Source organism: Homo sapiens, chromosome 11 (genome assembly GCF_000001405.40).
Source record: "Homo sapiens chromosome 11, GRCh38.p14 Primary Assembly".
NCBI lineage: Eukaryota > Metazoa > Chordata > Mammalia > Primates > Hominidae > Homo > Homo sapiens.
The window spans coordinates 12,046,470-12,062,044 of NC_000011.10; the positions used below are offsets into that span (position 1 = coordinate 12,046,470).

Consider the following 15,575-nt stretch of genomic DNA (forward strand, 5'->3'; position numbering starts at 1 on the left):
GATTGTTAGTGTCATGAGGCTTCCCAGTCATGCTTCCTGTTAAGCCTGTGGAACTGTGAGTCAGTTAAACCTCTTTTCTTTATAAATTACCCCGTCTCAGGCAGTTCTTTACAGCAGTGTGAAAATGGAGTAATACAGTGGGGGAGGCTAACTTGGACTGGGAAGGTAAGAAAAGTCCTCTTGGAGGAGGTGGTGTTTAAACCTGGCTGGCTGGCTGCATGAGACTTGAAAGTGAAGCGATGGGGAAAGGCTGGAGGGTGGGAGAGGGGTTGGCCTGTCCATGCACCATCCAGGCACCTTCTGATAGAATGAGAGTGAGTGAACTATAGCTCTCAAGCCAAACTCTGCCTGCCACCTGTGTCTGTATGCCCTAAGAGCTAAGAATGGTTTTCACATTTTCTTTTAGACAGGGTCTTGTTCCAGTGCCCAGGTGGGAGTGTAGTGGCATGATCTCGGTTCACTGCAGCCTTGATCTCTGGGGCTCATTCGATCCTCCTACCTCAGCCTCCTCACCTCAGCAGCCTCACCACCTCCCTCATCTCCACTCAACCTCTCCACTCCAGCCACGCTGACCGCTTTAATGCCCTGGTGATCACCCTCCCCTTCTCCTCCAGGGCTTTCCCTGGCTGCCCCCTCCACTGCAAAGTCCTTTCCTATCTCCTCTCTCCCTGTGGCCAACTCCTCCACTTCAGAGACCAGCCTTGACTTCACATCCTCTCCTGCTTCCCAGTTACCTCCAAAAGGGCCTCTGCCAAGCCATCCTCTCTGGTTTCTCTCTGAAAATCCAGGGTTGGCACAGTGTGAAGAGTGCACAGGGGCCTAGAGGCCTGGGCTCTGGAATGCTCCCGTTTCCAGACTCAGCTGCCTCCCCTGCCTCTTCCCCAGGGCTGCCAGTAAAGTGCCTTTTCCCTGCAGGAAAAAGAGCTGCCCCAGTTGGGCCTGGAAAAAGGGCAGGCATTCCCTCACTTGGCTGGCCAGGGGGGCTGGAAGTCTTTGACAGCCCTGCGGTCAGTCCCAGGGCCAAGTCCTTGTCCCCTCCTGGCAAATTTATGCGCACCTGAACTCTGCAGGATGCCCAGGAGGGGGCGCCAAAGTGCTGCCAAAAAAGAACAGTTTGGGGCATATGAATCAGATGGCCTCGTGGGAGTGCTTAGTGAGGGCTGGCTCTGAGTTCTTTTTACCCCAGCCCCTGCCCAGGGCCAGGCACTGTGTGTGGAATGGAGGAAAGGACACCATGCAAGAACTGACAAGGTCCTGCACATCTCCTATGCTGGCATTTCTTACGATCACAATGACTTTGGTGTTCCAGGCCCAGAGGCTGGGAGCTGGCAGGAAGCTTGACCATTGTGAAGAGCTAGTGTGCCTAAAGTGGCCTACAGATTTGTTGAGGGAGGCTAGGTGGGGTCAGGAAGGCAGGACCCCTTGAGCCAGTTGCCTCTGGCAGCAAACAGTCTCATTATTGCGTAATTAGTATTTTCTATGTTGACTTGACATGGACGTGGTTGGGAAGCACTATCCAATATGGAAGCCACTAGCTACATGTGACCACAGTACTTACGTTTTAATTAAGATTAAATAAGCAGGCTGGGGGGTGGTAGCTCATACCTATAATCCCAGCACTTTGGGAGGCTGAGGTGGGCAGATCTCTTGACCCCAGGAGTCTGAGACCAGGCTGGGCAACTTGTTGAAACCTGTCTCTACCAAAATACTTAGCCGGGCATGGTGGTGCATACCTATAGTCCTAGCTACTTGGGAGGCTGAGGTGGGAGAATCACCTGAGCCCAGGAAGTTGAGGCTACGATGAGCCAAGATCACGCCACTGCACTCCAGCCTGGGTGACAGAGCAAGACCCTGTCTCAAATAAATAAACAAATTAAGATAAAATAAAATTTAAAATCCAGTTCTTTACTTCATTAGCCACATTTCAAGTACTCGATGGCCACATGTGGCCAGTGGCTCTCATGTCAGCACAGAAATAAACATTTCCATCATTGAAAGTTCTGTTGGACAGTGCCACCCTAGAACTTGCTCTGATCTCTTGTGGGTAGGGTGTGCTTTAGAATTTCAGAGAGTTCACTGTTAGCATGCTGCCTCCCATGGATATGGTTGTTACAAGGTTATGAGAAAGGCAGTCAGACCCACCTAGGATTAACCCCTGATTTTGCTGGTTACAAGCAAAGTGTCCTCTATGCAAGGGCTCTGCAGGGCTGACACGGGACTTGAGCATCCGCAGACTTTGGTATTCAAGGGGATCAGGCAACCAAACCCCCACAGTTAGCAAGAGACAACTGGACTACTTTTGTGGCTTCAGAGAAGTCACTTAATCTCTTTCAATCTCTGTTTTCTCATCTCTAAACTGGGGATAATATCACCCTGCCGCCACAGTTATTATTAGATGAGCTAAGACAGATAAATCACAAAACGCAGTGCCTAGGACACAGTTTTGCGGCCTTACCGCCCCAGCCGAGTGTGCCTTTCTGCGTGCACTCACCCACAAGCCCTCATCCCCTGGCTATACTGTGTCCAGACCTGTGTCGGGTTCCACATCTCGTTCAAAGGCAGCACCGGGCTTGATTCTTGCACCGGGCTTGATTCTTGCCTAGAAGGAGATTGCAATCTAGGTCAGAAGGCAAGATAAGGCCCATGAAGCAACCTGAAAACAATTCTTAGGCAACACACAGGGCAGTGTGTCATCCCGTGAGCCAGAGTCTGATGGGAAAGTAGTGTGGGGTGGGAGGCTCTTCTAAGTCCTCGTAGAGAAAGTGGGTGAGATTAGAACTGGTCTTGAAACAGCGTAGAGTTTGGACCGGCAGAGCCAATGAGAGAGAAGTGGCAGCAGGGAATGGTGTGAGGGCAGAGGAACAGCGTGAGCAAAGAAATGCTCAGAGGTGGGTAAGGGAGGGGCCAGAGCTAACACAGTATGGGGCAGCTTGGCCGAGGTGCTCAGGAAGGGGACACACTTCCTGAGAAGAGAATTTGCTAAGAAGATACTCAGATCTTGGAAGCCAGGCTGAGTTGCTTAAGTTTAATGAGACAGGTGGTCATCAGGCAGGCGGGGCCTTGAGCATGGAAACTGGCAAGGCCTGGGGAGGATTGCACTGACAGCAGAAGTCGGAGGTCTGTGAGGGAGATCCTGCAGTCAGGGTGACGTCAGCGAGAAGTGACACCAGCGGCCTTCCGGGGCAGTGCATGGTACCATTTACAGAGCGCTGTTAACATAGCCTGGGCTCAAATTGCTGGGTCCTAACACAGTAACCAAAAACTGGACTCCATTGGTCTACACAACAAGTCAACATCAAATTGGGAAGGAGCAGTGGGTAGGCACCAAGAAGAAACAGAGCAGAGGAAATGCCTGTCACAGTGTGTCAAGATCTGAGCCCCAGCCCCTTAATCAGTTAAGAAAAAGAACAGGGGCCGGGTGCGGTGGCTCGCGCCTATAATCCCAGCACTTTGAGAGGCCAAGGCGGGCAGATCACGATGTCAGGAGTTCAAGACCAGCCTGGCCAACACAGTGAAACCCTGTCTGTACTAAAAATACAAAAAATTAGCTGGGCCTGTAATCCCAGCTACTTGGGAGGCTGAGGGAGGAGAATCACTTGAACCTGGGAGGCGGAGGTTGCAGTGAGCCAAGATCGCGTCACTGCACTCCAGCCTGGGTGACAGTGCGAGACTCTGTGTCAAAAAAAAAAAAAAAGAAAAAAGAAAAAGAACAGGTACAAGGAGGAGAAGAAGGGGGTGTCTAGAAAGAGGACTGGGTGTCTGAGAAACAGGGCTGGGTGTCACATCACACACATACACAGGCACACACAGTCACATTCACATGCCTGTACACATAAACACATATAAGGACACACATATAAGCCCCCCAACTTACTCTTCATGCTAATCATACCCAGAGACCCTTAAGGATACATGCAAATGCATATGTACGGGCACACATCAATACGTATGTGTATATACACGTGTTCTTCCTCAGCCCAGCCTCTCCTTTTAGGCCTGGAGCTGGGGCTGACATTGGGTTTACATCAATCAAAGCCACTAGGAAACGTCTATCCTGCCTGGGCCCAGAGTCCATTTCTGACAGAGGCTTCTCCAGGCTTTACTTGTAAACGCTATTTATTTTGGAAAGCAACTTCTCTGTTTTCAAATAAAACGTTGGGACATGCAGTATTGGATTTCCCTGATCTGACATTGACCTAGAAAAATGTGCTGGCAGGAACAGAAAATGCGATGCCCCACTGTGCTGGCAGGCACAAGAGTTTCCCTCCTCTTGGCTTTGATTGCAAAGGTTAAGATGCAAGTGAGAGAGCGCAGTTCCCCCTCCCTGCCTGAGCAGCACTCTCCCTGCAGAGCTGGAGGGAACTGGGGGCCATGTTTAGGGGCTTCCTGCAGGTTTTGGTGCTTGTGGTCTTAGGGGCATGCTTCTGGGTGGGGAGCTTATCACAGAGGGGCAGCTTGTCACAGGGCTGGTGGCCGAGGCCAGCATGTAGAGAGCAAACAGCTCCAGGATGTGCAAAATATGAATAGGGCCCAGCTATGGGGGTCCCCACGGTTGTCATCAGTGAAAAGGGCAAAGCAACTTGAGCTCTGGGTGAGGTTTGAAGCCAGTTCCTGTCCCTTGGGGAAGAGGTTTCCTGGAGGCAGACCTGCCAGGTCCAGCTTCAGGTGAAGGTCATGGCCTGCTGCCATCTGCAGCGGCCTGGGCACCAGTTGCAACGGTTAGGGGCAGAAGCTGGGAGCAAGGGCTGAGGCAGGAGCCCCACATCATGGTGGGAACCCAGACACCTGTGGTCTGCTTGCGGGGGTGGGCCCTGGTCTAATTAGCAAAGGAGGCTCAAAAAGCAATACACAATTCATTGCCCCAGCTGAGCCACAGAATCTCTCAGAGTTCCTCAGCTGCTCCAGTGACTTAATTCTGTGCCTGTTAATTCTGTTCCTATTCCACCCACATCCCTTATGGCCTCTCTGAGGATGAAATGAGATCAGAAATGTAACATGCTCAGCCAGGGCCGGATGCATAATAGGTAGGCTCGGTAAACGTGAGAGCAAATCCCAGCTTCACCACTCACTAGCTGTGGCGCCTTGGGCGAGCTCCTCCTTGGTGCCTTAATTTCCTCATCTGTAGAATGCAGATAATAACAAAATGTACGTCATAGAACTGTTGGGGATTAAATGAGTAAATATTTGTAAAGCACTTTGAACAGTGCCTGGCACTTAGTAAGCGTGATAGCTGTTTGCTATAATATTAAATTTACTCTTTTTGTGTGTGACAGGGTCTCACCCCGTGCAATGGTGTGATCATAGCTCACTACAGCCTCTACCTCCCAGGCTCAAGCGATCCTTCTACCTCAGCCTCCCAGATAGCTGGGACTAGAGGTGCACCCCACCACACCCGGCTAATTTTTTATTTTTTATTTTTTGTAGAGACTGGGAGTCTCATTATGTTGCCTAGGCTGGCCTCGAACTCCTGGGTTCAAACAGTCCTCCCACCGTGGTTTCCCGAAGGTCTGAGATTATAAGAGTGAGTCACTGTACCCAGCCTTAAATAGTATTCCTAATGGTTATTCATGTATTTATTCATGAATTTATTCAACACGTCTTTCTTGAGGGCCCACTATGAACCAGGCACTGTTCCAGTCACTGGGGCTATAGCAGGGAACAAGAGACACTAGCCCTGTGGTAGGTATAATGATCCTCCCTGCCCCCAAAGACGTCCATGCCCTAATCCCTGCAATCCTGACTATGTGATGTTACGTGGCAAGAGAGACTTAAGGTTGCAGGTGGAATTAAGGTGCTCATCAGCTGACTGGGAGAGAGGGAGGGTGCCTTGGATTATCCAGGTGGGCCTAACGTAATCACAAGGGTTCTTAGAAGAGGGAGGCAGGAGAGTCAGAGAAGGAGGTGCGAGGATGGACACGGGGTTCTAAGTGATGTGATTCCTGGCTTCTTCCAAGATGGAGGAAGAGGCCACGACCCAAGGAAAGCAAGCGGCCTGTAGAAGCTGGAGAAAGCAAGGAACTGGAGTCCCCTCTGTAGGCTCCAGAAAGGAACACAGCACTGCCCTTGATTTGAGCACAGTCAGGTTTCTGACCTGCAGAACTGTAAGATAATACATTTCTGTGTTTTAAGCCACTAAGTTTGGTTTGCGGGGACTCGTTATAGCAGCAATGGGAAACAAATACCAACCCTTCCTCATGGAGCTCATATTTTTATAGGGGGAGCACAACAATAAAATCAACAAAATGCAGTGTGTGCAGCAGGCAGCAGCAGTCGAGCTGGCCCTTGCAAGTTGGCCATCCCGCTAGCCGTGGCCGCCCCCACTCCTAGTGTCCCTCTGTTTACCCATGGCTGAAGGGCGGGGGCTGCTCTGCCCATTGGCTTCCAGGCTCTGGCTGGACACACACTGCTAGATCTCGCTGGCTCCTGGGCTGGGGAGGGGCAGGTGCGTGGTGTCTAGCCCAGGAGTGGGTGGGACCTGCTGCCAAACTCTGGGGCAATTAGCATGTTCCTAGATTCCTGTGGGCGAGGAGATGAGAAATCGTGATTTGTCAAGGCCGGTTGGGAGTGAAAGCCAAAGCCAGGAGGCCGCCTCTGAGTCTCCCGGGTTTCTGTAATTATAATTACTTGATTGGGCATAATAAGGTGCATCCGAATCTTCCCATTAGGAGGCCATAAAACAGCACTTGGGCTTTCATCTTGCCCAGCTGCTTACTGAAACCTCCCTCTTTTATCTTCAATGCCTTTAATTGACAGGTCTGAGCCCAGGGAGCTACTTCTGGAGATGCTGTGGTCTGGGGTGGATCCTGCCTTCTCAGCCCCTGCCTGTTGAAGTCACTGAAGTCTCTGCTGCATCTCCGGGCTTCTGCTGAGCAGGGCTGGAAGGTCTTGCTTGAGGAGCTGAAGCCCACCAGCAGGTGGGGTTTGCCACTCAGGTGTAGCTCATAGACCTTGAAAGGATGGTGCCTTGTGGCCCATGTTCAGGAAGTCAGGTTGAGCACTGCTCAAGGGCACCTACATCTAAGGGTTATCATCAACATGGTAGACATGCTAATTTACATGAGCACACTGGACGGGAGATTGACTAGGCCTCCAGGCAGGTAGCTGGGGAGAGCACCCTTTGGCCTAAATTCACAGTGGCACTTGGGGGTGTGCACAAACTCTGCACACCTGTGCGCCTCTGTCCCATCTGCACTCCAACTGCTTGATACCCTTTAAGGCCTGATTCCAAGACCTCCAAGACTGAATCTGTCATGATTGCCTCACCTGGAGGGGCTGTGGGGGGTGGGGAGGGTGGCACTCAGTGTGTGTGTGCATGCTGCTGCCATGAGTGGGCCGTGGTGTGTGTGGACACAGCCAGGGCTGCTTATACTAACTTGACCTTTCTTATTTAACCTGAGGAAGGGACAACCTTTCCTAATTTGCACAAAAGTGCTGCATGGGCCAGCCAGCCTTTGCAGCTGCCATCTGCATGGTGAAGCCCCACCCTGGGTTTCCCTAGATAAACTTTCCATTCTCTAGTGGCCTGAACCTTGTTCCCAGGGTCAGCCTGCATGTGACCCTTAGTCTCTCCTGGCTGGGACTGGACACAGACCTGTGCCACCCCTGGGTGTCCCCTCTGGGTGTGCCCTGTGAACTAGCTACCTTCCCCTCAACCAGGAACACAGGCAAGTGGAGAACTCAGCTGGGAAAACACTCTGACCCAGGCCTAGGGAGGCAGTGGGAGAATAAGCAGTTTGGCAATAGAAATACACATCCTTCAACATAGTGATTTCCCTCTAGGGAATCTGTGCTTAAGAGATCAAGGATGTGTGCCCAGATTTTGCCGAAAGGATGTTGGTTGCAGCATTGTGTTAGCAACCGTTGAAAATAAACCAAGTGTCCATCAAGGGAAGGAGTGACTGAGTCCCAAGCAGCCCTTTATGTTCCTAGAAATCTGCCCAGAAGTCAGAGGTTTGAAACTTATGTAATTTATTTTAAAAAACTGACAGTAACATTTAAAGTTATGAGAGATATTTATATCCCACCCCCCAAATTAAAAACATTATTAAATCACTAATTATTTTCCTCCCAGCTTTATTGAGGTATAATTGACAAATAAAAATTATATCTATTTAAGGTATATGGCTTAATGTTTTGATGTTACAGAAAGATTTTGAAACATGGTAAAATGATCACCACAATCAAGCTAATGAACATATCCATGACCTCACGTAGTTACCATTTTTTTGTGTGTGTTGAGATCATTTAAGATCTACCCTCTTAGCAAATTTCAAGTATACAATACAGTATTAATAACTGTAGTCACCATGCTGTATGTTAGTTCTCCAGAGTTTATTCATCCTGTATAATTGAAACTTTGTACTATTTCACCAACATCTCCCCATATCCCCCCTTTCCCCCTGCCACCCAGCCCCTGACAGCCACTATTCTATTCTCTGCTTCTGAGTTTGACTTTTTCAGCTACCACATATAAATGGGATCAGGCAATACAGTTGTCCCTCAGTATCCTCGGAGGATTGATTCTGGAACCCGCATACCATCCCCATCTTTGCAGATACCAAATTCTGCAGACTCTCAAGTCCCTTATATAAAATGGCATAGTATTTGCCTATAACCTGTGCACGTCCTCCCGTGTACTTTACGTCATCTTTATTTTGTTTTGTTTTGTATTTTTTTTTTTAAGACAGGGTCTCACTCTGTTGCCCAGGCTGGAGTGCAGTGGCACCATCTTGGCTCACTGCAAACTCTGCCTCCTGGGCTCAAGTGACTCTCTTGCCTCAGACTCCCAAGTAGCTGGGATTACAGGCACCCACCATCACACCCCGCTAATTTTTGTATTTTTAGTAGAGACAGAGTTTCGCCATGTTGGCCAGGCTGGTCTCAAACTCCTGGCCTCATGTGATCCGCCCGCTTCGGCCTCCCAAAGTACTGAGGTTACAGGCATGAGCCACTGTGCCTGGCCAACTTTATATCATCTTTAGATTACTCATCATACCTAACACAACGTATATAGCTGTTAGGCTGTATTGTTTAGGGAACAATGACAAGAAAAGTCACAATCTTCATAGGCCTGACTGCATTTTCAATCCACCATTGGTTGAATCCAAGGATGTACTCATGAGTACAGAGGGCCAGTTCAACTGTCTTTCTGTGCCTAACTTTTTTCACTTAGTGTAATGTCCTCCAGGTTCATCCATGTTGTTGCAAATGACAGGATCAAATCACTGGATTGTGCCTAACTTTTTAGATGTAATCTTTAATATGTGTCTTAGTTTGTGTTTTCCCAAAAGTAACATCTAAAACAAAAATCTGATTGCAGGTAGTTTATTTTTGGGGTGATTCCAAGAAATGCTGATAGGGTAGAGGAGAGAGGAAAAAAAATAAGAAAAGGAAATAAAGAAAGCTATAATAAGCCGGGTGCAGTAGCTCATGCCTGTAATTCCAGCGCTTTGGGAGGCTGAGGCAGGAGGACTGCTTGAGCCCAGGAGTCTGGGGCTGCTGTGAGCCATGATCACGCCACTGCACTCCATCTGGGCAACAGAGTGAAACCCTGCCCCCCACCCCCCAAAAAAGAAAGGGAGCCAGTAAAAGATGACTTACTAAGCAAATTACCTATTGACAATGTGGTCCTGCAGAGCACACACAGTAGGCCCCAGGGGCCAGGGGGAGTCCTGAGGCGAGTCCAGAGGCAGGCAGCTGAGGCCAGGCTTGAGTGCATAGAAATGGTGAATGTGGTGGAGGTGACAAGGTGGAGCACTGATAGCTAGAGACAAGTGTGTCTCTAGATTTTGTATGTTTTTCTTTAATCTTTTTTTTTTTCCTTAACAATTGGACCTACAGGTGGCAGACAAATCCAGAGGGTATTCATTGGAGGATGAAGATTTCCTGCCTCTGGTATGCATGATTTCCTCTTTGTCACAATTTGATTTTCAAAGGCAGCAGCATTTCTACATTTCTATTTTCCGCTGGTTTTTATAAAATAGTAAGAAGCCGGGCATGGTGGTGTGCACCTGTAGTCCCAGATATTTGGGAGGCTGAGGTGAGCAGATTGCTTGAGCCCAGGAGTTCAAGACCAGTTGGGTAACACAGCAAGACCCAGTCTCTCAAACAATAACTAGATAGTTAATAAGAAATATTATCTCCAAGTAAGTGCTCTAAGAAAAAACAATGGCTAAGACTTATGAACACATACCATAAGCCAGGTTTGCTTCATTCTAATGGCAATGCTCTGGGGTAAATATTACTGTTATTGCCATTTTACAGTTAAAGAAATGGAGGCCCAGGGAGGTTAAGTAATTAGCTCAAGGACACACAGCCATTAGATGACAGAGCCTGGCAGTCTAGCCCCAGAGTCCATGCTCTTAATCAGCCTGCCCTGCAATGGCCATGTGACTGTTTGATATGGTCCCTCAGCTGACTTTGGAAGCCTGAACATGGCATGTGAAAGAGCATTTAGGGGTGTCAGTAATAATGCACAAAAATGTAGATTTTTTTGGTCCAATTTGAATATAACTACAGTGTGGTATAAAATGGTTTGTGGCAGGTAGAAACATTATGAACTCATTTGGGCTAGAAACATACCTTTCATATTTTCTATGACCTGAGATGAGTTTTTATTCTGAGACACACCTCACTGAATGAAGGAAATTAATCTCAATCCATGTGAGGGCTGCCTTGGCTTTTTCCCAGGGCCAAGGAGGGTGTTTAGTACCAACCATGCTGGGGTGGTGAGAGTGAGGTGGTGGAAGGGTGTCCACACTGAAAGGGCGATATGGTTTAGGTCTGTATCCCCACCCAAATTTCATATCAAATTGTAATCGCCAGTGTTGAAGGTAGGGCCTGGTGGGAGGTGACTGGATCATGGAGGTGGTTTCCAATGATTTAACACCATCCACCTGTGGCTGTCTTGTGATAGAGGTCTCTTGAGATTTGCTTATTTAAAAGTGCATAGCACCTCCCCTTTTCTCTTTCTCCTGCCGGCCATGTGAATATGTGCCTGCTTCCCCTTCCCCTTCTGCCATGATGGTAAGTGTGCTGAGGCCTCCCCAGAAGCAGAAGCCTGTACAGCCCATGGAACCGTGAGCTGATTAAGCCTCTTTTCTTAATAAGTTACACAGTTTCAGGAATGTCTTTACAGCAGTGTGAGAACGGACCAATACAGAGGACCTCCTTGCCGTTCATTACTGGGTCATGGTCCACACCTCCATCCTCACCCTGGCCTTGAGTCCTCTTTGGGCACACTGGCTCTGCAACAGAATTTCCATGCCCTGTTGGAATGCAGGGACATCACCCTAAGGCCACTGGCCGCGCTGAAAGGCCCAGCTGCCCTCTGCTTTCTGAAGTCACTCCCTACATCTCTGCGCCGCTGTGTGTCCCACCCCACAGGAAGAGATTCAACCTGGGAGAGGGAGGCAAGGGGAGGAGGCACCAAGTCTTTTATTTCTATTTTTGCTTCCAAGGGTGAAAAAAATGGCTCTGTCTAGAGACTGTATACCTCCACAGTTGGTGTATCAGCTATTCCAGATTCCTTTCCGTCCCCGCTATCCTAGTTGTCTATTGTTGCATGACAAACGCTGAAACTTAGTGGTATAAAACATACATATTATTTTGGTCCAGGCTTGCCAGATAAAATACTGCAAATCTTTTACCTGTAAATACTGTAAATATTTTATCTTCAAGCTTAAAAAATTAACTTCTATCTCTACTACACAGATAAAAATTTAAACTGAGTTAAACTTGAATTTCAGATAACGTATAATTTTTTAGTGTAAATATGTCCCATGCAATCCCATGTAATATTTGAGAGCTACCTAGACTAAAAAATTATTCCTTGTTGATCTAAAATTCAAATGTAACTGAACATCCTGTAGTTCTATTTGCTAACTCTAGCAACCCTATTTTGGTCGCAGCAGTGTGGGTCAAGAGTTTGGGAAGGGTTTGGAGAGAGCCGAGGGATCCACTTGGAAGGAGGCTTTTCATGCACGTGTCTGGGGTGCCAGGGGTGCTCCTTGGCCTCCTGCCCTTTCTTCACATGAGGTCTGATCTCTGGTGCTTCTCCACGCAGCTCAGGATTCTCACGGTGTGGCTGCTGCAGGGAAGTCAGATCACCTACGTGGAGGCCCAGGGGCCTGGCTCTGGAAACAGGAGGCAGAAGCTGCCAGTCTCTAGTCTTGGGCCTGGCAACTGGCATAGCATTACTTCCGCCCTATTCCATCGCTCAAGCAGTCACAGAACCCACCTGGCTTCAGCAGGAAGGGGCAAGGACCCCGCCTCCTAATGGGAGCAGTGGTGAAGAATTTACAGTCATCTTTAATCTGTCATACCCGCTGAGAAGAAATAGATTTTCTGCCACCTGAAAAGTTGAAAGTCACATGTGTTTTTCTCTTACATCATGGCTTTCCTGAGGTGATGGCAGCAGCTCAGTCCAGCTGCCGTCTGATTGGGCGAAGGGTCCTAGAAGAAGGAAATACAGGAGGGGAGGAATCTTGGCTATTTCAAAATGTCATTCCTTGCATTTATGCAACCAAGGAATCCACGAAGTCAAATCATACGTAACAATTCAAAAGATCTTCAGAAAGATCTTTTTAAAATTTTTTCTTTTTTAAAAAATATATTTTTTCTTTTGAGACAATCTCACGTTGTCGCCCCGCCTAGCTAGTTTTGCATGTAGCTATCAATACTTACGTATTCATGTTTTTAAAAGTAATATCGTATTGTAAACAGAATTTGTAACCTGGTTTTTATGCTTACCATTTTATCTTCAAAAGATCTTGGCTCACTGCAATTTCTGCCTCCTGGGTTCAAGCGATTCTCTGTCTCAGCCTCCCAAGTAGCTGGGATTACATGTGTGCACCACCACACCTGGCTAATTTTTTGTATTAGTAGAGACCAGGTTTCACTATGTTGGCCAGGCTGGTCTCAAATTCTTGGCCTCAAATGATCCTCCTGTCTTGGCCTCCCACAGTGCTGGGATTACAGGCATGAGCCACTGCACCCAGCACATAAAGATCTTTTGATTCTAACACATTTTAATGTTTTCTGTTTGTGTGTTTTTTTGATATTTTATAACATGAATACATGTCTTTTTTATTTCAGGAAAAAAGAGATTATAAAACAAAAAGAAAATACTGTTACAATGAACTGAATGTTTGTGTCCCTATAAAATGTTTATGTTGAAGCTCTAATCCCAAAGTGATGGTATTAGGAGGTAGGGACTTTGGGAAGTAATTAGGTCATGATGGTGGAGCCCTCATAAACAGGATGAGTACTCTTATAAAAGGGACCCCAGGCTGGGCATGGTAGCTCATCCCTGTAATCCCAGCACTTGGGAGGCTGATGTGGGCAGATTGCTTGAGTCCAGGAGTTCGAGACTAGCCTGGGCAACATGGCGAAACCTCATCTCTACTAAAAATACAAAAATTAGCTGGGCATGGGTGGTGCATGCCTATAGTCCCAGCTACTCTGGAGGCTGAGGTGGGAAGATCACTTGAGCCCAGGAGGCAGAGGCAGCAGTGAGCTGTGATGGCACCACTGTACTCCAGCCTGGGTGACAAAGTGAGAACCTGTCTCAAAAACAAAAAACAAAAAAGCCACCCCAGAGAGCTCCTGTGCTTTCTTTCCAATAAGAAGTTGGCAGTCTGCAAGCCATAGAGGGCCCACACCAGAACCATGCTGGCACCCTGATCTTGGACTTCCAGCTTCCAAAATTGAGAAATAGGCGGGGTGCAGTGGCTCACGCCTGTAATCCCAACACTTTGGGAGGCTGAAGCAGGCAGATCACTTGAGGTCAGGAGTTTGAGACCAGCCTGGCCAACATGGCAAAACCCCGTCTCTACTAAAAATACAAAAATTAGCCAGGTGTGGTGTCATATGCCTGTAATCCCAGCTACTCGGGAGGCTGAGGCAGGAGAATCGCTTGAACCCCGGAGGTGGAGGTTGCAGCAAGCCAAGATCACACCACTGCAATCCAGCCTGGGCTACAAAGACAGATTCCATCTCTAAATAAATAAATGCTGTTGTTTTTAACCCACCCAGTTTATGATATTTTGCTATAGCAGCCTCAACAGGCTAAGGCAACTGTCCTGTGGATTATTAACTAGTTGGCTCTTTATACAAATTCTATTGAGCACCTAGCACGTACCAATTACCAGTCTATTCACTGCAATAAGCAAGCCAGACAGGGTCCCTGTCCTCCTGGAGCTCATGGTCTGGAGAAGCACCTGGACTGTTCTTTGGTAGTGGCATCTGAATCCAGAGCTTCCTGAGTTTTGCTCCTAGAGGACCTTGTGCAGAGCTGCCTGCTGAGGGGGAACAGCCCAATGGCTTCCTAGCGCACTTGCCAAATACCTGCCTCCAAGCCGTCTGCTTCTTCCATCAGGTCCTTGCTTTTGGATCCCAGAGACTTCATTTCCTGCCCTACTTTTCCTTCCAAGAGCTCAGTGGAGAGTTCTCTTCCTAAAAAAAGAGAAGCTTACTTCCTCAGCAGTGTTATCTCTGGGTCTCAACCATAAGGCTGGAATTTTCCCACTCAGCCATGGAGTAGTGTTGCCCTTTCCATCTTCCTGAAGCCAGAGCATGCAACATGTGGTAGAAGCCATTAGTAAGAGATGGGTAGCAGTCAAGGGCATGGCCCCAAGTCTGGACTCGTGGCTACTGGGGAGAAAGGGAAATTGATGAAGCTCCTATAGTGTGACTGCTATTGTGTGCTACATTCACAGAATCCCCAACTGCCCTATGATGCAGACCAGGCTCTCCAAGGCTGGGTCCTGAGAAATGGTACTTTCTTCAGATGTTAATAGATTCTGTGTGCAATTTTGGGAAATTCTATAGTTCTTTGTTCAGTGCTTTTAATAGGCTAATGTGCATGGTGAAACTCAAAGGGGGAGGTTATGACAGGCAGTCTCCCCCAAATTTATTTCACCCAAATGCCCCATACTAGATTGAATAGTGTCCCCCCAAAATTCAAGTCCACCCAGAACCTCGGAATGTGGCCTTATTTGGAGATAGTCTTTGCAGGCATAATTAATCAAGGTGATGCCACGCTGGAGTAGAGGGAGCCCTAACCCAATGACGGATGTCCTTAGAAGACGAGAAAACAGAGACACATGGCGAAGAAGGCCATGTGATGAGAGGGTCAGAGACTGGAGAGATTCATCCACAAACCAAGGAACGTCAAGGGGTGCCGGAAACCCCCGAAGCTAAGAAGAAGCAAAAAAGGAGCTTTCCCCTCAGGGTTCAGAGGGAGCATGGCCTGGCTGACACCTCGATTTTGGACATCTAGCTCCAGAACTGTGAGAAAATAAATTTCTGTTGTTTTAAGTCACCTGGGTTGTGGTCATTTGTTACAGCATCCGCGGGGAACTAATATGACCCCTTTATACCTTGAATCCTATTAACCAGTGATACAGGTTACCACTTTGAAAATAGGCAATGTGGTTGTCCCCACTTTACAGATGGGGAAACTGAGATTCTTTGAGGATCAGTAGCTTTCCTCAGGCTCCACAGAGTGTGGCTTCCATAGCAGTGTCAGAGCTCACACCTGGGTCTCTGCGTCCGCAGTGTTGAACCCTCTCCCT

The 15,575-nt window shown here is 48.1% G+C and overlaps 1 long non-coding RNA gene across 1 annotated transcript in view; it reads left to right on the plus strand.

Annotated features, from left to right (window-relative positions):
* The window catches only part of LINC02547 (long intergenic non-protein coding RNA 2547), a 30,911-nt gene extending 15,595 nt beyond the window's left edge, over window positions 1-15,316 (plus strand). The window contains exon 2 of the long non-coding RNA NR_135109.1: window positions 12,065-15,316. This is a non-coding gene — a long non-coding RNA (long intergenic non-protein coding RNA 2547). The remainder of the gene's footprint in view (window positions 1-12,064) is intronic.
* Window positions 15,317-15,575: the final 259 nt, after the last annotated feature.